Source organism: Homo sapiens, chromosome 10 (genome assembly GCF_000001405.40).
Source record: "Homo sapiens chromosome 10, GRCh38.p14 Primary Assembly".
NCBI classification, from domain to species: domain Eukaryota; kingdom Metazoa; phylum Chordata; class Mammalia; order Primates; family Hominidae; genus Homo; species Homo sapiens.
This window is the reverse complement of record NC_000010.11, coordinates 117,889-139,944: the sequence shown is the minus strand read 5'-3', so window position 1 is coordinate 139,944 and position 22,056 is coordinate 117,889. Positions and strand designations below refer to the sequence as shown.

Sequence of the window (22,056 nt, the reverse complement as noted above, 5' to 3'; positions counted from 1 at the left end):
CACCTACACGTTTGAGAAGAGCCTGGCCAACATGGCAAAACCCCAACTCTACTAAAAATACAAAAATTAGCCAGGCGTGGTGGCTCCTGCCTGTAGTCCCAGCTACTTGGCAGGCTAAGGCATGAGAATCACTTGAACCCAGGAGGTGGAGGTTGTAGTGAGCCAAGATGGCACCACTGCACTCCAGCCTGGGCAACAGAGCAAGACCCTATCTCCAAAAAAAAAAAAAAAAAAAAAAAAGGACCATGTGTAAGTTTAAGTTGGACAGTGTACGTGTAAGTAACTTTGCACAGTGGCTGATATACAGTAGACAGACAATACATGATATATTATTATTATGGTCCTCATTTATGTTATAAAATTGTAGCTACTAAACATTTCAAAAGTGGAGACTAAGAGAAGACAAAACACTGAAAACCTGATGAACAACCTCCAGGTCACTAACATCTGCACAAATCACTGTATCAAAGCAGATTTACATTTGTTTTGAAAACTTGATAATGGCACTGCAAGTAACTGAAAGTATGTAAGAGATATTGGTAGAAATAAACTCACATATGCTGAATTCCTAGTAGAAATGTTGGTGAGGGTTTAATGAAGATCTAATGAAGAGAAAACACCAGTTTTCCTTTATTCAGAAAGTCTATCTGCTTCAAGGAAATATAGAAAATGCAACCTGAAGCAGTTATGGACAGAGTGCCAGATATGAAAAACAGAAAAATATTAACATAAAACCAATGGTTAAAATAAGAACTCTCACACTGTGTATTTTAGTTATTTGTATTATTCAAATGAATTAAAATAGATGAATAATAATATCATTCATCAAAGTAATGATAGGCCAGGCACAGTGGCTCATGCCTATAGTCCCAGCGCTTTGGGAAGCCAAGGCAGGCGGATCATTTGAGGCCAGGAGTTTAAGACCGGCATGGTGAAATAGAAAAATTAGCCAGGCACAGTGGCGGGCGCCTATAATCCCAGGCTGAAGCAGGAGAATCACTTGAACCCAGGAGGCAGAGGCTGCAGTGAGCCAAGATTGTGCCACTGCACTCCAGCCTGGGCGACAGAGCGAGAGTGAGTGTCTCAAAAAAAGAAAAAAGAAAATTCAGTGTTAAATCCAATTTAAGGTTTTCAAACAGTGAAAAGTTTTAACTATCATAAGGCTAAGTCTATTTTCTCTTTTTTTTTTTTCCAAGATACATCCTCTTTGCTGAAAGGTAATAATGTTCTCCATGTAGAATTCAACTGAAGGACAAGAAAGTTACCAAAAATCTGATACCAGAGGGTTAGGGCTTTAAGTAAGCAATTTACAGCAACATTTGATACTTTTATAGCAAGTATTAAAATTCTTAGTTAGGTCCAAGTAGTGTCTCAATTAAGGTATGCCAAAGAGTATGAATGCCTCTATTATACACTACTGTAACAACCCTAAGAAGAAAAAACTCAGAGGGTTACCGAAGGATGAGAGTCCAAATAAACATATGTCATTCATTGAAACATGCATGACATCCATTCAAAACGCCAACAGGGCCGGGTGCGGTGGCTCACATCTGTAATCTCAGCACTTTGGGAGGCCAAGGCAGGTGGATCATTTGAGGCCAGGAGTCTGAGACCTGGCCAACATGGCAAACCACCCCCACCCCGGCCCCCTACTAAAAATACAAAAAATTATCCAGGTGTGGTGGCACATGCCTGTAGTACGAGCTACCCGGGAGGCTGAGGCATGAGAATCGCTTAAGCCTGGGAGGCAGGGGTTGCAGTAAGCCGAGATCACACCACTGCACTCCAGCCTGAGCGACAGAGCAAGACTCCATCTCAAAAAAAAAAAAAAAAACGCCAACAGAATGGTATTCAGTATGAATGAAAGAACTAAATTTTAACATTTTAATTGATTTCTTTTTGTGAAGCTGGAAGCTCGTACATGTACATTTATTTAAACACCTCACAAATGGTAATTGCAAAAATAAATTGTCCAATTTAGAGACTGTAAAAGGAAGAGTTGGTTTTCATATGAGCAATCTCTATGGGGGAAAAGCACCATGTGAAATACAGAAATCCTTTAAGTAACAGAGTCAAGCAAGACAAATATTTTGATTCTGTCATAATCACATCCCATATCCTCTGATCTCTGATTCTCTAGCCTGGTCATCTTATAAAGATGAGTCAACCAAAAATAACAACTATAATGTAACCTGTGCCAGTTAGTCAAAGACAAGGCAAATTAAATGCCTCTACAGACATTCATATTTTTTCTCCTGCTTGTAAAAAGACATTCAGAAAAACTACAAAGATGACCCTGCCTACCAGAAAGCACTCTAACTTTTCAACTTTCAAAGTACAACCAACACTATCTCCCTGATAACATCCAACCATTAATTAAAATCAACCTCAAAAATCTGAAAACGTTGTGCACACCATAATTACTAAGCTAAAATTACTATATTTCTCAGTTTACAGGAAAACAAGTAAACATTTACTTTCTGCTTTTGGACAAACAGATTAAATTATTTTTAAGAATGTTCTTGCCTCCATATGACTCAGCTTACTGTGGGATGCAGAACACCTAAGTGAGGAGGACCAAGGGCTCTAGACCTCCCTAAAAACCCAACCTGCACCACTCCCTCCTACCAGCAGGGTCCTGAATGGGCCACCTGGGTATCTCCTCCAGGCTCACATTCTTGACACCAGATACCATGTACACACTGTATATGACCCAGGGTACTAGATACCCTGAATATGACAGTGGGTACTGTGTACACAGTACATATGACACTCGGTACTAGGTACACACTGCATCTGACACTGAGTACAGCTTATGTGACAAGGATAGTGCATGCATGGTGCATATGACATTGGGTACCATATATGCATGGCATATGACATTGGGTACTACCTACACACCATATATAACACTATGTAATGTATACATACTGTACATGCCACCAGATATATATACAAAACATAGATAACACCAGGTAGTGTATATACACTGTATATGACACCAGATACTATATACCTAACGTATATGACATTGAATACTGCATACACACCGCATATGGCAGCACGGTACCGTGCACATACTGCACAAAATACCGGGAACCGCGTAAGGGCTGTATATGACACTGGGTGCTGCATACACAGTGTGAAAGGATACTATGTACACACCATATATGACCCCAAGTACTGTGTGCACACAGTATATGACACCTGGTACTATACACACCGCATATATGACACCAGGTACTACATACACACTGTATGTGACAACAGGTAAGGTAAATATATTCAATACTATCCAGATACTACATACACTCGTATATAACATGGAGTACCACACGCACAGCTCATATGGCAGCAGGGTACCAGGCACCTACTGCACACAATACCGGGGGCTGAGTGCACAGCCTAAGCGAGGAAGATACATGTACACACCGTGTATGATAGCCGGTACGACACCGGGTACTTCGAGCACACTGCATATGACACAGAGTACACACCATATATAATCCCCGGTACTGCGTACCCACCGCATAGGACACCGCACTGCACAACGAGCACTGGTACACACGAATAAAACAGGTACGGCGGTCACTCTGCAAAAGACACCGGGCACGGCGCACACATCGCCAGCTCCTCCTCCTCCCGGCTCGGGAGAAAAGCGCGAGGAGAGACTGCAAGTGAAAGTCCGGGTCCCGGCGCCCCCCCTCGTCCCAGCCGCGTCCTCAGCAGCTTCTCCCCGGAGCTCTGGGTGGGAGGAGGGCGGCGGACCCCACAGGACTGTCCCGGAGGTCCGCGAGGACCTGTTGAGGCGGCGGCCTCGCTGCCGGGGTCGCTCACAGCCCCGGGGGACCGACGAATCTCCGCCCCGGGCCTCGGGGCCAGCCCTGCCCGCCGCTCCCGGGCTAGCACACGACGTGCCGCGCCGACAAACGCTTCCTCTCCGCCCGCCACACGCCCGGAGCCGCGTTCCCCGCCGGCCCGGACTGCGCACGGGCCCAGGAGGCCTGACCGAAAGCGGGGCACAGGGCCCGGCGGGCGGTGCTCACGCGACTCCGCGGCTTCCCGGCCCGAGCAGGCCCCGCGCGGTCCTCCGGGGCCTCATCCCGGGGCCTCTTCCGCGGCCGCCCAAGGCGAGTGGGCGCGGGCCGGCAGCCTCCGCAGGCCCCGCCGCCGCCCTCGCAGGCCCCGCCGGCCCGGCCCGCCCCGCCATCCACAAAGCTCCCCGGCAGCTCGGAGCTCTTCGCGAGCGGGCGAGCGACCGTCAGCACCCACTGGTGCCGCCGCCGCCCCAGAGGCCGCGGCCAGGCAGGCTCCACCGCGCGGGCCGCGCCATCTCCACGGACGCCCCCGCCCGCCCCGCCGCCCCGCCGCCGAGCTTTCCCCACCATTATGCTCCGGCTCCTCCACCGCCGCCGCCGCCGCGCCCGGCCCTCCCCTCCGGTGCCGCCTCCTTCCCGCCGCCCGGCGCCTCTCGGGCCTGAGCCGGCGACGGGCGCGGGGGGCGGGGGGGACGCTCAGGCCGCCTCCTCCTCCTCCCTGCCGGCCTCCTCCCTCCTCCCCGGCTCCCCCCCGCCCGGACCCCGCCGCCGGCTCCGCGCGAAGGGCTCCGGGCTCGAGGGGCGCCATGTTTGTAATACTCCACCTCAGAGAACGCCGCGGTCGCGCCTGAGCGAGGGAGGCTAGGCGGCCGGGTCGCCGCGTGCGGGGTGAGGGCCGGGAGGGCACCGCCGCCCGCACTTACTCGCGTCTTCCCCTGGCGCCGCGGGCCTGCGGGGCCGGAGCGGGCGGCGGGAAGTTGGGCGCCGCCGCCCGGGAAAGTTGGGTCCCCGCGAAGCCGCGGCAGCCGCTCACATGGCGATGCGCGCGGGGCGGCCGCTCGGCCCCACCGGCCCCTCGGCCCGCCCGCCCTCGGAGTTTATTGTGTCGGGTCGAGGCGCCCCGCGGCCGGGCCGCGCACTGGGGGCTCTAGCGGCTGGCGCCGGACTTGCGCGCGGCCGGCCCGGCTCGCGGCCGCCTCCCGCCCGGGGCCGGAGCCGTGCACGCGGCTCCTACCTTCCCCACGTCCTGTCTTCGGCGCCTCTATCCGAAATTTGTTGGAGCATATTCCTCTGTCTCCACACATGCACTCCGTATCCACACACACGTGAAGGCTACGTACGTGCAGGCGCGCTGGAGCCGGGAGCGGGCGCCGAGGCCGGGGCGCGAGGGGGCATTGTCAGGCGCCGCCGCAGCTCAGCCCCGGGTGGACCCGGTGCCTGCCCCTGGCTCGCGGGGTCCGGAACAGCGAAGTCTGAGAAGTACGAGTGCTTCTCTTAACAACATTGTTTAGGTAGTCTGAACAGCCCTTTACTCCTGTCATCAAAAAGAGCGGTAGGGATACGCTAAGTTCCCCGTTTCATCTCTGCGCAAACAGGACCGCGAAAAGAACAGGACCACCCATCAGCAGCCCTGCAAGAACACTGCAGATTTGCGCGAGAAGTAGGTTATCTTCTATGGAGAGGAATTCTAGACCTAATCAGAGACGATCCCTTAAGACTCTGGTTTAAGAAAGGTTCGGAGATAAGCATACTTTGATAGCGTTCACCTGTTTTCCCTGAGGACCTTTCGCCACTGGGAGTCGGGGAACACCTGTCAGTCAGAGTCCTCTGCTCTGAAATTCGGTGAGTACAGGACAGCAAGGTGTTTTCAGGGAGACCGCATTCTCATAACTTTTACTACAGTATAGTGTTATAATTGTTCTGGTTTATTATTAGTGTTGTTAATCTCTCATTGTGCCTGACTTCTAAATTAAACTTTATTATAGGCAGGTGTGTATAGGAGAAAACGTAGTGTAAGTAAGGTTCAGCACTACCCCGGGTTTCAGGTATCTATTGGCCGTCTTGGCACGTGTCCCCACCTGAAAAGTCATTAGGAAGAGACGGTTGTAGGAATTTGGGGATTCTGATAAAATATATCAATCTGCTTCTACAGCTGGTTTCTAAGACTGTTAGAATTTAGAAATGGGTGGTACTTGAATAGGTCTGTGATATACACTAGTCAAATAAACACAATCTTTCATGCTATTCACAGCCCTCAATCTGATACATCCCAGAGAGTTTTTGATTATCTCAAAGAACATCACAGAATAATTGTAATTCATTTTAAGAGTAAATATATATCGCTAAAAATTTAGTAGAGGGGTTAAAACGTGTCAGAAGAAAAGCAAGCCATGCCTGGTTTGAATGTTGGGCCAGGAATTCCAACAATGAAGAGCTTTCAGTGAGTCACCTTTTTAAACAGTCTGTTACTTCATCTGTAAAATAGAGGACTGCATGGTTCTGTGTATTTTAGAGAAGGCACTCGAGTAAGACAACATCGTATCAATAAAAGGAAGCTTACCTTTTAGGAAAGAAGTGGCAGCATAACTCCACATTTTTTTCCCAGTTATACTTTGTAGGGATCATTTAAAATTTTATACGCAGATACCATCTCTCATTCAACCTAATGTAAGTTAGATAACTTACCCTGATTTTCCTGTTGGTTTTGCCTAGAATTTAACCCTTGGCTCTATTTTCCAAGTAAGGTGGTATTTATCCACTAAGATGAATACGAATATCCCTCCCCACATAAAACGCAAAAGCCATGGATAATGTACAATAGAAGAAATAAAACTATTAATAAATACTGACAGCTATTCTAATTCACTAGTAATGACACATTCAAACAACGTAACATTGCTTTTCTTCAAAGGACAGAATTCTTTTCCAGTGATAATGCTACTGATGGTTAGCGAAATGAACGCTTATATACACTGCTGGCAGAAAATTGGGTTGATGTCAACTCTCTTGAAATGCATACCAAGAGGCCATTAAAACAGTTTGATTTATCTCATTTGCCCCTCAGCTGAATGAATGTGTGTGTGTGGGTCTGGGGACCAAAGGTTTGAGGTTTGGAGGAAGCCCAGAAGACCAGTAACTAATTGCTGTGCTAGTATCTTACATGACAAAGCTATACTGTTTATACAATTGAATACAGACAGATTTTTACTTCTTGATTCTCCTTTTTGCATTGGTGAGTTTCAAAGCGGGTGCCACTGAGCCCTGGGGCTTCTCAGAGCTGTCGGGGAGCTGTCTCTGCAGGACCAAGACGTGGGAATACTCCTCCCGCCCCCAATCAGACAGCACTGCTCTATTTTCTAGAATGAGTGTCCAGATCAGATTTCATTACCTGGCTATTGGGACAGTATAGTGTGTGTAAGGTAATAATTGCTCAAACTCATTTGACATGAGTTAGGGTTTAGTCTCATTATTTATTTTGTTAAATATTATCAGGAAATACTGTGGAAGAAAATGTTAACTGTAACTGTAATAAAGTGTGGACTGCTGCAGATGGCTGTGAGTGTAAACGTCACAGCACCTTCATTGGCCCATGGCCTCCAGAGCCGCTTCCTGCTGCGGGGCAGCCCTCAAAAATGTGTGTCTAGTGAGTGTCATCTCTTACACATGCTACAGCCCCCCATCCTCAGACCCCCAAGAAAGCAAGAGGATAAGAAACATTCAGTAAGAGACAGATGCTGAAGTGAGCAGTCATGATCTAGCCACTCCACAAGGTTAGTTCGTACTGCAAAGGGAGACTTTCTCAGAGACCAATAAAATATATATATATAAAATATATATATTATATTACATATTTTTTTTGAGCAGCAGCAAGATTTATTGTGAAGAGCGAAAGAACAAAGCTTCCACAGCGTGGAAGGGGACCCGAACGGGTTGCCCCAATGAAATATTTTCTAAGACTATACAATGTTCTTTGATTTCATTCCATGCCTTTCTGACTTCTGATAACAGTTTTCCGTAGTCTTTAGTATTAGATATTGATGTTTTGAATATGGTTGTGGTTTCTCCTTATCTTCTCCTCTATTAGATTAACATTCTGGCATATAAGTTACTATATAACAAGTTTATTAATGTTGCTTAAGGATTTCCAGTCACCTGTGGATGCTTTTAAAAATCATGTTTTTGAAACTAGAAAGCTGTGGTCCGAACTCTGTAACAGCAGTTACCATTCATTGATGCTGCCACCCTCTGTGGCTCAGACTGAAACTGCTACTATCCATATTTTAATTTTAAAAAACTTTCAGCCAGGAATAGTGGCTCACATCTATAACCCCAACACTTTGGGAGGCCAAGGCGGGAGGTACACTTGGGGCCAGGAGTTCGAGAACAGCCTGGGCAACATAACGAGGACGCATCTCTACAAAATTAAAAAAAAAAAATAGCCAGATGTGGTGGCTCACTCCTGTAGTCGCAGCTACTCGAGAAGCTGAGGGAGGAGGATGGCTTGAGCACAAGAGGTCAGGGCTGCAGTGAGCTATGATTGCATCCCTGCACTCCAGCCTGGACAACAGAGCAAGACGTTCTCCAGGAGAAACTGTCAGTATAAGAAATCCATTTCCATTGAAAGCCATGATTCTTCCAATACTTAAGTGGCAGCTTTTTACTACACAGCAACCGAGGAGCTGAGCTGACAGTGCTTGCCAGGCCTAGTTCCAGTGCCTGTGGGCCTTGAAACCCAGGCTCCGGGCATCTCTTCAGGGCTCCATAGCTGTGGCTTCTGAAATTCAGTTCCCCACTTCTGTCCATGAATGTACAGTATTTGTTAGAAGTAGGTCCTCCCATACTCAGGTTAATATGCTTCAAAACATTTAAGGAAAAGTAGGATCCTGTCTTTTCAAGGGCAACTCATCACACAAGATGAAAAACAGATGTTTGTGTATGTGTGTGCCTTCTTTCCTTCAAAATTGTGATTCTAACCTTTTCCCTGTCTCCCTGGTCCCTGTTTTCCTTTTTTTGAGATAGGGCTCACTCTGTCACCCAGGCTGGAGTGCAGTGGCACCATCTTGGCTCACTGTAACATCCACTCCTGGGCTCAAGCGATCCTCCCACCTCAGCCTCCCGAGCAGCTGGGACCACAGGTGCATGCCACCGTGCCCAGCTAATTTTGTATTTTTGGTAGAGATGGGGTTTCGCCATGTTGCTTACGCTGGTCTCGAACTCCTGAGCTCAAGTGATCTGCCCATCTTGGCTTCCCCAGTGCTGGAATTACAGGCGCGAGCCACCGTGCCCGGCCCCGACTCTCTTCTATAGCATGATGTAGAAGAATATGCACTAGTGCACCTGAGTCCAAATTCCAACTCACTGTGAGACATTCAAGTGATTTCACCTTTTTGAACCTTGGTTTCCCTGTTTTTCAGGAGTATGATTTTCTAACATCAGATTGCTTGGATTAGAGTCCTAACTCCACCATTCTCTAGCTATTGACCTTGGACAAGTTATTTACCAATTTATGTCTCATTTTCCTCATCTGTGAAATGGGAATAATATACGATTTCATAGTGGTCATTGAGAGGATTAAATGAGAAAATGCATGTAAAATTATAATACTGCCTGCTTGGAATAACTTCAGTATTAGTGGCTACAATTATTATTATCTGTAAAATGGTAATGATGAATATTAAACGGGCCAAATATTGTGAAATGCCTGACACAAAAGGAGCTCCCCTTCTACCACGTCCCGTAGTCGAGCACACAGCACAACAAAGCGAAGACACCTAAGGACACAAGAATGTACCTGATTAATTGCAGGTGCATCTCCAGTTCCTCATTGCTCCCCACAGACCCAGCAGCCCAACCCAGGCTGGATCCTGGGGATTTCCTCCTGGCTTTTGATCTTTAGCTCCAGATGAATTGCCATTACCTGGAACAGAAGAAACAATTTCAGCCTGTGTTGACTCTCTTAGGTTTTTTGTTTGTTTGTTTGTTGTTTGTTTTTCAGAACTGCAGTTCCAGCAGCCACTTCCCCAGACTCTGCTTCTGACTAGTTATGTAACTTTTGGCACGTAGCAACCTCTCCCAGCTTCAGTTCCCTTCTCTGTAAATGATGGAGGTTTACAATTCGCACAAGGTTCCCATTAGTACTAAAATTCTATGAATTCCAATGCTATACCGGCCTCTGTTCCTGGAAATCCTGTTGTTTCTGCTCTGTTCTTCAAAAGCTCTCTTATCAGATATACTTTCTGGTCCTATTTCTCTTTTCCCCTGGCTTCCTTTCTTCCTCACCGCACTTAATGATGCCTGGCCTCTCTGCAGGCACTATCACACCGCTGCTTCCCTGCAGAAAACTTCTTCCCCTGGGATGGAAGCCAGGACTCTTTAAGAGACTTATTCTTGGATTCACAATATACAGAGGCATGGGGATAATTGCTGTCATATCTTGAGAAGTTATTCTCTTCTTCATTTAAACATTTCAAGTACCAGAAAATGCACACTTACATGTTTATATACTTCCTCCAACCTCTTGTCAGGGATACCTTTCCAACATGTTTTCACTTTTTAGGAAGGACAAAATTTAGTCATAGGCTCCACTCTCAGCTTATGGAGAGTTTCATGCAGTGAACTTACATTAAAACAAAAAGAGGCACCTGCACTTGGCCATCATTACTAAGGTCTATACACACATGTCAGTGATCATATCTGAACACAGAGCTGTGAACATGCCTCTTCCATGTTACATTTTACAGAAATTCCCTTCTCATTGCCACCTATTTGTGGCAATGGCAAATGAGAATCTGTGCGGGAATTTTTTTACTTTCTTTTCTGAGACGGAGTCTGGCTCTGCTGCCAGGCTGGAGTGCAGTGGTGCAATCTCAGCTCGCTGCAACCTCCACCTCCCGGGTTCAAGCGATTCTGCTGCCTGGGCCTCCCGAGCAGCTGGGACTACAGGAGCGCGCCACCACACCCAGCTAATTTTTGTGTTTTTAGTAGAGACGGGGTTTCACGATGTTGACCAGGTTGGTCGCTATCTCTTGACCTCGTGATCTGCCCGCCTCGGCCTCCCAAAGTGCTGGGATTACAGGCGTGAGCCACTGCGCCCGGCCTTTTAGTTTCTTTAAAACCCAGTACTGTGGTATATAGCATTTAAGATTTTCATTCTCTTCCTTCAGCTTTCTCACAGTTGTGATTACTCATGTTCCCATGCAAATTAATGTTTAAGAAATCATCACAGTATTTACCACTGATGCCTTTGGAATTTTCTGTTGTTCTGAAGGATTCTCCCGTTTGTTAATTTTCATAAAAGCTTTCTTTGGGTTTGGTTAATTGGCATAAAATTAAAACTGATGTTATCTTTATGTATGTTTTAAGTTTTTAATACAAACAAAGCTCAGAGAAATTGTAAAAAGGCTGATGGGATAGGAACATTTAAATAAATAAACATTTATAAACACATAAATAAATAGTTCATAGGAAACTGTCTTCTAGAAGTAGTAAAGTATAAAACGTCCATTTGTATTCTTCTATTATTTGAAGAAAACTATGTCTTAATAAATTGTCCAGTGATAAATCCCTTAAAGACCTAGAGAAAAATATAGTAAACACATTAGATCTCGCAGGGGAAATGGTAGAAAGTAAATATCTAGGAGAACAATAAAATGAAATGTAAATAATTACAGTGCCAAATTATACTTTCTACAAAATAATTATATTTCAAAAATATTTCCTACATTATTTGGCCATTGTCTCTGCACTTACAGTTTGATTGGTTTCTTTTGCTTATGTGCAGTATTGAGATAAAGTCAAAGAAAAGTTGGAGGCCAGTCATGGTGGTTCGCATCTGTGGTCCCAGCTACTGTGGAGGCTGAGGCAGGAGGATTGCTCAAGCATAGGAGTTTGAGGCTGCAGTGAGCCATGATTGTGCCAATGCACTCCAGCCTGGGCAACAGAGCAAGACCCAGTCTCAAAAAACAAACCAAAAAAAAAAAAGGAGAAGAAAGAAAAGCTTCAGAGGGCACAACTTCCTTTTTTCTTTTAATGTAACTGCACTGAGAATTTCAAGCACAGGAAGTTCTACATCCTCAACTACCATGCGTAGAAAGCAAAACATAGAAAGCGACGCGTTTCTTTCCGCATCGTCACCTTCCTCCTTCCATCAGTCAGTCCGCAGTCCCGCTTCTCCAGTGAAGCCTGGTGTTAATTTTCCACACACAGTGTTATTCAGGGGCTGATTATCCTCTCTTATTTGTATTCATTTGTTTTTTTATACCTATTTTGAAAATTCATACAGAATATAGGCAAAGAAGCTAAAAGAAAAAGTGAAACTCAGCACATTTTTAATTTTTTATTAGTAATTGCATTTTTAAAAAAGGACAGTTACTGGAAGAGAAGGTAATTGAATATAGATTACAACAAGATTTAGGGACAATTATAGAATTTCTTGTATATTTACTAATAAATGAATGCTAATTATCTTTTATGTAAATGGCATTTTATGCCAGCAAGATGTTTTATATGTACATATGCACACACACACACGCGCGATAGAGCGATGGCTAAATAAATTGTGATTTATTCCTATGATAGGATTTATGTAACTATTAAAGAAGTTGTTTATAAAAGTCTTTCTTATTGTTAAGTGCAAAACTAGGATTAGGATAGACGTTAAAGAAAAGGATCATATAGTGTAAAAATAAACATGTATATTAGTAGAAAGAGACCACAAAGTGTTATGAAAAAATACTAACTATATTAATCTCTGGCAAATAAAAGTATTTGTGTTTTAGTTTTTCTTTTTTTTATTTTTATTTTCTTGTGTCGTATTCATATTTCAATTATTAAAAAATGTTGTTCTAGAAATTGTGAACCAAAAGTATCTGAGACAGGTCTCAATCAATTTAGAAAGTTTATTTTGCCAAGGTTGAGGACATGCCCATGGCACTGCCTCAGGAGGTCCTGATGACATGTGCCCAAGGTGTTCAGGACACAGCTTGGTTTTATACGTTTTAGGGAGACATGAGACATCAGTCAACCCGTGTGAGATGTACATTGCTTGGGTCTGGAAAGGCAGGACAACTCAGTTAGGGGCTTCCAGGTCATAGATAAGAGACAAACGGTTGTATTATTTCGAGTGTTTGATCAGCCTTTCGCTGAGATACACAATTTACACGTGAGATGGGGGTAGACAGATAGTCACTTATGCCTTAGTCTGGCTCAGCGACTGCATTTTTACATAAATGATAAGGCAGAGGAAGCAATCAGATATGCATTTGTCTCAGGTGAGCAGGATGACTTTGAGTTCTGTCCTTTGTCCCACACCTGTGAAAATAAGCTATCAATTTACCTTGCCAGGGTAAAAATTCAACAGAATGGTTTTAGGGTAAAGATCGTGAGCCCCCGCCCCTCCCCCCCCCCCAACGGAATTTCCTTGTGAGCAAAATTGTGAGTAAGGTATGTAGCTTTTTTATCTTTGTGGCTATCTTATTTGGGAATAAAATGGAAAGCAGGTTTGTCTGACCCAGTTCCCCAGCTTGACTTTCCCCTTTGGCTTAGTGATTTTGGGTCCTGATATTTATTTTCCTTCCACAAAGTGAAATGTTGGATTTTAGCAGACTTGCTGTGCAACTTTAAGTGGTATTTGTTTAGCAAGCAACTAAACCAAAAGTACCATGCAATGCAGGTAATAGAACATTTTATTTATTTATTTATTTATTTATTTTGAGACAGAGTCTCACTCTGTTGCCCAGGCTGGAGTGCAGAGGCATGATCTCAGCTCACTGCAAACTCTGCCTCCCGGGTTCAAGCAATTTCCATGCCTCAGCCCCCCGAGTAGCTGGGACTACAAGCGTGCACCACCACACCTGGCTAATTTTTGTATTTTTAGTAGAGACGGGGTTTCACCATGTTGACCAAGGTGGTTTGGAACTCCTGACCTCAAGTGATCCACCCACCTTGGCCTCATAAAGTGCTGAGATTACACTCAGGTGTGCTGGGCCACTGTACCTGGCCCAGAAAATTTATTTTTAATTAAATATTATATTCCTATGAATACATTTATTCTGTTAAATGAAGAACAACTCTACTGTTCATAGTAATATCAAATTGAAGCCATTTTTATAGGTCAAAGAAAGTGGATACTGGCATTTTCATATGGTTCAACCTCATAGCATTGGTTTTCACATTCTCTGATTGGGATTTTAGAAAAATAAAATCAAAAGTGAAGCCAGACATAAGTGTGTTCAGTACGAAAATGGTAATCCAATAGACTAAGTGGGAGTGCAAGTACAAGAAATGCTCATGATAGCATTTCATGTAGGTTTTCCCTCTAATTCAATCAACTTCTAGAAGTCAGTTGTAGTAGTCCACTCTCACACTGCTATGAAGAACTACCTGAGACTGGGGAATCTATGAAGAAAAGAGGTCCAATTGACCACAGTTCAGCAGGCTTAACTGGAAGCATGGCTGGGAGGCCTCAGGAAACTTACAATCCTGGCAGAAGGACAAAGGGGAAGCACCTTCTTCTCATGGCGGCAGGAGAGAGAGAGCCAAGGGGGAAGTGCCATACACTTTTAAACCATCAAATCTCATGAGAACTCACTATCACAAGAACAGCAAGGGGGAAATCCACCCCCATGATCCAAATATCTCCCACTAGGTCCCTCCCTTGACACGTGGGGATTAAAACTTGATATGAGATTTGGGTGGGGAAACGGCGCCAAACCATATCATCAGTTCCATATTTTACATTAAGAGTTACAGTGATGTTGAACTCATATTCCTTGTGGAGGTTAAAAACTCTTTATATGATGGTGAGAAGTTTTAGTTAGAAAATTTAGTTCTTCTATAAATTTATCTTTGATTATTAGATCCCTTGCACAATAAGGACCTGTATTCATTAAACTAAAATAAAATATTCTGAGAACTGTATGGTGTGACTAAGCTTTTACCGTCCCAGCTCACTTAATCCTTACCAACTGATAACTCTAGTGCCCACATTTTACTCATGAGGAAACTGAGAATTGGAAAGATAAAATATCTTGCCTAGGCTTCCAGCTGACAAGTGACCTATCCCAGGCTTGAGTCCAAGATTATCTACTGACAGATCTGAAGTCTGGACTTTTAATTACTATTCCTATTCAAGTCTGTCATTTCAGATGTATTACCCAATTAGGATCACATTGTTTAAAGTCTATACTTGTAATGCCACACACAGAAAACCTCCTTGCTTTGTATTAAAAATTTATATTTTGTCCATCAGAGCAATCGATTTAAAAAATTTTAAAAAGAAGCACGCACTAAACCAAGGGTTTTAGATATGTGAAAAATTCTAAAACAAGCAACAAATAAATCCAAAATATTATATTTAGATGAGTCACTCAAAGTGAAAAAAAGATCTTTCCTTTGGCCACCTAGTGTTTAAGAGTGTAGAATTCACAGCTAGGCCCATCATGGTTATTATGTCTATTAATTATTCCAAGAGATCCAATTACTCAGATTCTTTTATGGCAAGACTTGGTAGATGAGGACAGATAAAGAGAAGGAATTCAAAAGTATGGTCAGGTGTGAGACTTACAACTACTATATTCTTTTAATTATATATATATATATATATATATATATATATATATATATATTTTTTTTTTTTTTTTTTAGATGAAGCCTCTCTCTGTTGCCCTGGCTGGAGTGCAGTGTCACGATCTTGGTTCACTGCAACCTCCACCTCCCAGGCTCAAGTGATTCTCATGCCATTGCCCCCAAAATAGCAGGGACCACAGGTGTTAGCTACCACACCCAGCTAATTTTTGTATTTTTTTGGTAGAGAGGGGGTTTTGTCATGTTGGCCAGGCTGGTCTCAAACTCCCGACCTCAAGTGATCTGCCCTCCCCAGCCTCCCAAAGTGCTGGGGCTACAGGCATGAGCCACTGCACCTTGCCTATAATTCTTTATCAAAGCATTTGCATTAAAATTCAGCTTGTATGACGCTTTTATATTATAACCTGAATTGAAATATTTTTATTACTGTTAATCTTATAACATGACATTAATTTTTGTTAGTATGTGACTGTGTGACATAGCCAATTTCCATGCTAGAGAATTTGAGTCTACATAGTTTTCCAATTGCTTATGTGATGTTATATACATAATGTAAAAATTTCTTAAATGTGAAAATAAAAGCAACAAAATAAGCTAACTTTAAAATGAAAGGTAAAGTCAGAAGGAATTTAGTACACTTGTAGGGTTAAGAAAATTCATTAAAATCATTTTTTACCTATAAAACTCAACTTACTAAGTTTATGTTTAGATATTGACATAAACGTGTTGTTCCTATATCATAGAAAAGAATGAAGAGTGTTTTCCTTCGATATGTGGATTTTACAAAATATTTTGGAACCGTAGGCTCATTTGTCCTTTCCTTCCTTCCTTCCTTCCTTCCTTCCTTCCTTCCTTCCTTCCTTCCTTCCTTCCTCCTTCCGTCCTTCCTCCTTCCTTCCCTCCATGTCTCCTTTACCTCATATCAATATATTCCTTCTTCCTCTCTGTGGAGTTCATCCTCCCTTTAAACTTTATTAGCTAGATCACTGTGATCTTCCCATAATCTGTATTCCTAAAATACTAAAAGTCAAAAACATATACTCTAGCAATTGACATCATGCATAATAGAGGTGAAAGAGGTCTCCAAACATCCATTGGTCTAGAATTTTGCCTTTTGCCCCTTGGAAGGATGGAAGGAAACTGGGTCTTTGATAACATCCCTGAGTCTGAAAGATCCATCCCAGGAGTTGGATATAAACTGAAGCTGGACAGACGTCAATCGTTTTTATATATATTTAAGAGTTTAGAACTCACAGGTCTTCTTGTTGGATAAAATTGGGGAATCAAGGAAATGAAGAAATTAGATATAGCACCCAAATTTTTGGACTGAGTAACTGAAAGAATAGTGTCATTTTTGGAAATGGAGAATATTTGGGGAGGAACAGGTTTTAGAGCGGAATCAGGAATTCTATTCCTGATGTTAACTTTGAGTTATGCTCAAGACATGCAAGAAGAAATATCAGATAAGCAGATGGGTACAGATATAGTAGTCAGGAGCTTAAGAGAAAGGTAAAGACTGGGGACATGCATTTGGGAATCACCAACATTTAGTTGTTACTTAACATCATTGGACTGGATGAGGCTGTCTTTAGAGATTATAGATGGGGAAAAGAAAGACACCCAAATAAAAGCCCTGTTTGATCCCTACATAGACTAGAAAGACTCTGCAAAGAAGAACAAGAAGCTGGCTTGTGCTGGGTCCAGTGGCTTATGCCTATAATTCCAGTACTTTGGGAGGCTGAAGTAGGAGGATTGCTTGATCCTGGGAGTCTGAGGCTGCAGTGAGCCATAATCGTGCCATTGCACTCCAGCCTGGGTGACAGGGTGAGACCCTGTCTCAAACAAAAAAATAAACCCAAAAAGTTGGCTTGTGAAGAAGGAGGAAAGCTAGTTCCGTGTGGTCATTGAGAAGTGAGACATGAAAATGTCTTGATCATAGAGCATGATCTGATACTTTGAAACTTGCTGAGAAAATCCTTAGAGACCTACAAAGAGACTAAGACTCCCACACAATAATAATGGAAGACTTTAACACCCCACTGTCAACATTAGACAGATCAACGAGACAGAAAGTCAACAAGGATACCCAGGAATTGAACTCAGCTCTGCACCAAGCAGACCTAATAGACATCTACAGAACTCTCCACCCCAAATCAAGAGAATATACATTCTTCTCAGCATCACACCGCACTTATTCCAAAATTGACCACATAATTGGAAGTAAAGCACTCCTCAGCAAATGTAAAAGAACAGAAATCATAACAAACTGTCTCTCAGACCACAGTGCAATCAAACTAGAACTCAGGATTAAGAAACTCACTCAAAACCGCTCAACTACATGGAAACTGAACAACCTGCTCCTGAATGACTACTGGGTACATAACGAAATGAAGGCAGAAATAAAGAGGTTCTTTGAAACCAACGAAACCAAAGACACAACATACCAGAATCTCTGAGACACATCTAAAGCAGTGTGTCGAGGGAAATTTATAGCACTAAATGCCCACAAGAGAAAGCAGGAAAGATGTAAAATTGACACCCTAACATCACAATTAAAAGAACTAGAGAAGCAAGAGCAAACACATTCAAAAGCTAGCAGAAGGCAAGAAATAACTAAGATCAGAGCAGAACTGAAGGAGATAGAGACACAAAAAACCCTTCAAAAAATCAATGAATCCAGGAGCTGGTTTTGTGAAAAGATCAACAAAATTGATAGACCGCTAGGAAGGCTAATAAAGAAGAAAAGAGAGAAGAATCAAATAGACGCAATAAAAAATGATAAAGGGGATATCACCACCGATCCCACAGAAATACAAACTACCATCAGAGAATACTATAAACATCTCTACGCAAATAAACTAGAAAATCTAGAAGAAATGGATAAATTCCTGGACACATACACCTGCCCAAGACTAAACCAGAAAGAAGTTGAATCTCTTAATAGGCCAATAACAGGCTCTGAAATTGAGGCAATAATTAATAGCTTACCAACCAAAAAAAGTCCAGGACCAAACGCATTCACAGCCAACTTCTACCAGAGGTACAAGGAGAAGCTGGTACCACTCCTTCTGAAGCTATTCTAATCAGTAGAAAAAGAGGGAATCCTCCCTAACTCATTTTATGAGGCCAGCATCATCCTGATACCAACGCCTGGCAGAGACACAACAAAAAAAGAGAATTTTAGACCAATATCCCTGATGAACATCGATGCAAAAATCCTCAATAAAATACTGGCAAACCGAATCCAGCAGCACATCAAAAAGCTTATCCACCATGATCAAGTGGGCTTCATCCCTGGGATGCAAGGCTATTTCAACATATGCAAATCAATAAACGTAATCCAGCATATAAACAGAACCAAAGACAAAAACCACATGATTATCTCAATAGATGCAGAAAAGGCCTTCGACAAAATTCAACAACCCTTCATGCTAAAAACTCTCAATAAATTAGGTAGTGATGGGACATATCTCAAAATAATAGGAGCTATTTATGACAAACCCACAGCCAATATCATACTGAATGGGCAAAAACTGGAAGTGTTCCCTTTGAAAACTGGCACAAGACAGGGATGCCCTCTCTCACCACTCCTATTCAACATAGTGTTGGAAGTTCTGGCCAGGGCCATCAGGCAGAAGAAAGAAATAAAGGGTATTCAATTAGGAAAAGAGGAAGTCAAATTGTCCCTGTTTGCAGATGACATGATTGTATATCTAGAAAACCCCATCGTCTCAGCCCAAAATCTCCTTAAGCTGATAAGCAACTTCAGCAAAGTCTCAGGATACAAAATCAATGTGCAAAAATCACAGGCATTCTTATACACTAATAGCAGAGAAACGGAGAGCCAAATCATGAGTGAACTCCCATTCACAATTGCTTCAAAGAGAATCAAATACCTGGGAATCCAACTTACAAGGGATGTGAAGGACCTCTTCAAGGAGAACTAGAAACCACTGCTCAATATAATAAAAGAGGATACAAACAAATGGAAGAACATTCCATGCTCATGGATAGGAAGAATCAATATCGTGATAATGGCCATACTGCCCATGGTAATTTATAGATTCAATGCCATCCCCGTCAAGCTACCAGTGACTTTCTTCACAGAATTGGAAAAAACTACTTTAAAGTTCATATGGAACCAAAAAAGAGCCTGCATCGCCAAGTCAATCCTAAGCCAAAAGAACAAAGCCAGAGGCATCACGCTACCTGACTTCAAACTATGCTACAGTCTGATACTGGTACCAGAACAGAGATATAGACCAATGGAACAGAACAGAGCCCTCAGAAATAATACCACACATCTACAACCATCTGATCTTTGACAAACCTGACAAAAACAAGAAATGGGGAAAGGATTCCCTATTTAATAAATGGTGCTGGGAAAACTGGCTAGCCATATGTAGAAAGCTGAAACTGGATCCCTTCCTTACACCTTATACAAAAATTAATTCAAGATAGATTAAAGACTTACATTTTAGACCTAAAACCATAAAAACCCTAGAAGAAAACCTAGGCAATACCATTCAGGACATAGGCATGGGCAAGGACTTCATGTCTGAAACACCAAAAGCAATGGCAACAAAAGCCAAAATTGACTAATGAGATCTAATTAAACTAAAGAGCTTCTGCACAGCAAAAGAAACTACCATCAGAGTGAACAGACAACCTACAAAATGGGAGAAAATTTTTGCAACCTACTCATCTGACAAAGGGCTAATATCCAGAATCTACAATGAACTCAAACCAATTTACAAGAAAAAAACAACCCCATCAAAAAGTGGGCAAAGGAGATGAACAGACACTTCTCAAAAGAAGACATTCATGCAGCCAAAAAACACATGAAAAAATGCTCATCATCACTGGCCATCAGAGAAATGCAAATCAAAACCACAATGAGATATCATCTCATACCAGTTAGAATCGCGATCATTAAAAAGTCAGGAAACAACAGGTGCTGAAGAGGATGTGGAGAAATAGGAACACTTTTACACTGTTGGTGGGACTGTAAACTAGTTCAACCATTGTGGAAGTCAGTGTGGCAATTCCTCAGGGATCTAGAACTGGAAATACCATTTGACCCAGTCATCCCATTACTGAGTGTACACCCAAAGGAATATAAATCATGCTGCTATAAAGACACATGCACACGTATGTTTATTGTGGCACTATTCACAATAGCAAAGACTTGGAACCAACCCAAATGTCCATGAATGATAGACTGGATTAAGAAAATGTGGCACATATACACCATGGAATACTATGCAGCCATAAAAAAGGATGAGCTCATGTCCTTTGTAGGGACATGGATGAAAATGGAAACCATTATTCTCAGCGAACTATCGCAAGGACAAAAAACCAAACACCGCATGTTCTCACTCATAGGTGGGAATTGAACAATGAGAACACATGGACACAGGAAGAAGAACATCACACACCGGGGCCTGTTGTGGGGTGGGAGGAGCGGAGAGGGATAGCATTAGGAGATATACCTAATGTAAATGATGAGTTAATGGGTGCAGCACACCAACATGGCACGTGTATACATATGTAACAAACCTGCACGTTGTGCACATGTACCCTAAAACTTAAAGTATAATAAAAATATATATATATATAAAAGTTCTGTGGCAAGGATGTGAATTAATATCACCCATACATAGTGTAATTAATAAACTTATCTTAATAGCTGCCTAAGGAAAAAAAAAACTTGCTGAGAGATCAAATAATGAAGGCAGAGGGACCTTTTGAGCTTATTGGTGACCTTCATATAAGCAATTTCACTGTTGGAGTGAGGTGAAGCCATGTTGGTGTTCGATTACAGATTACTTTCCATACTTCAGAAAATAAATTTGAGAAAAAGTTTCATGTTTGAGAATGGTCTTTGTCAACAGGGAGACTAGGTTATAGAGAAACATCTTGGTAAAGGGGACTCAGAACTCTGTTCCTGATCCATTAAGTCAAGATTTTATTATTTTGCAGATAGAACCTTAGTCAAGTGAAAGTAACATGCCATTTATTTTACAATTACTTTTAATATACAATTTTGTTTTATGCTTGTATCTGTTCCTCTCTATTAATTTGAAGAATGAAAAGTAATACCTCTTTCTGTCCACTACAGTACAATTAAGACAGTAGTGACAACATATATATTGAATAATATGTATTGTTCCTTCATAGAAACATTATATCTAAATGTTAATATAACATTTAGATATCAACACTGATATAAAATGTGTATGTGTATTTTATATTCATAAATTTATTTTAAAATATTTAGGGGGAAAATGGGCTTTATTTTTTACAGTCCTGAATATTATCAAGCACATAGGAGAATCCTAGAGGCGGTGAGAATGCCAGTGTGTGCTCAAATAGACTTTCAAATATAATATCCGAGTTTGACTTTCACTCACTCACCTAGATGATTGTAATTCAAATGACCATTCAGCACCCGCCATGCCACTTTATTGTTTGTCCTGGGGTAAGGGACATCTTCTGCATGATATGATGATGTATGTATGTATGTGCATGTGCCTGACACATGCTAAGTACCAAATAAGCACTAGCATTTAGGGGTTTTGGGTACCCATAAATGCTCTCAATAAATGTGTTCATTTGAAAATATAATAAATAGAATTAGATTTTACTAATAACA

The 22,056-nt window shown here is 42.4% G+C and overlaps 1 protein-coding gene across 35 annotated transcripts in view, besides 2 other annotated features; it reads right to left on the bottom strand.

Moving 5' to 3' along the window:
- The window catches only part of ZMYND11 (zinc finger MYND-type containing 11), a 124,550-nt gene extending 114,693 nt beyond the window's left edge, over positions 1–9,857 (bottom strand). For 11 of the 35 annotated variants that reach the window (NM_001330057.3, NM_001370097.3, NM_001370115.2 and 8 more), the window contains exon 1: positions 5,053–5,145. Coding sequence is in view for 2 of the 35 variants with exons in the window: in NM_001370116.2 (NP_001357045.1) it covers positions 5,053–5,102 (50 nt within the window). In the remaining 33 variants the exon portion in view is untranslated. The other 24 variants (NM_001370100.5, NM_001370112.2, NM_001370123.2 and 21 more) reach the window with 9 other exon arrangements.
- Positions 3,689–5,248: a silencer, noted in NCBI's record as "silent region_2058". NCBI's record gives its function as "represses an Ori minimal core promoter by ATAC-STARR-seq in GM12878 lymphoblastoid cells {active_cell/tissue: GM12878}" and the evidence as "EXISTENCE:reporter gene assay evidence [ECO:0000049][PMID:35858748]".
- Positions 5,063–5,241: a silencer, noted in NCBI's record as "fragment chr10:180644-180822 (GRCh37/hg19 assembly coordinates)". NCBI's record gives its function as "represses an EF-1alpha promoter that drives an FKBP-Casp9 reporter gene in an ReSE screen in HepG2 liver carcinoma cells {active_cell/tissue: HepG2}" and the evidence as "EXISTENCE:reporter gene assay evidence [ECO:0000049][PMID:32094911]".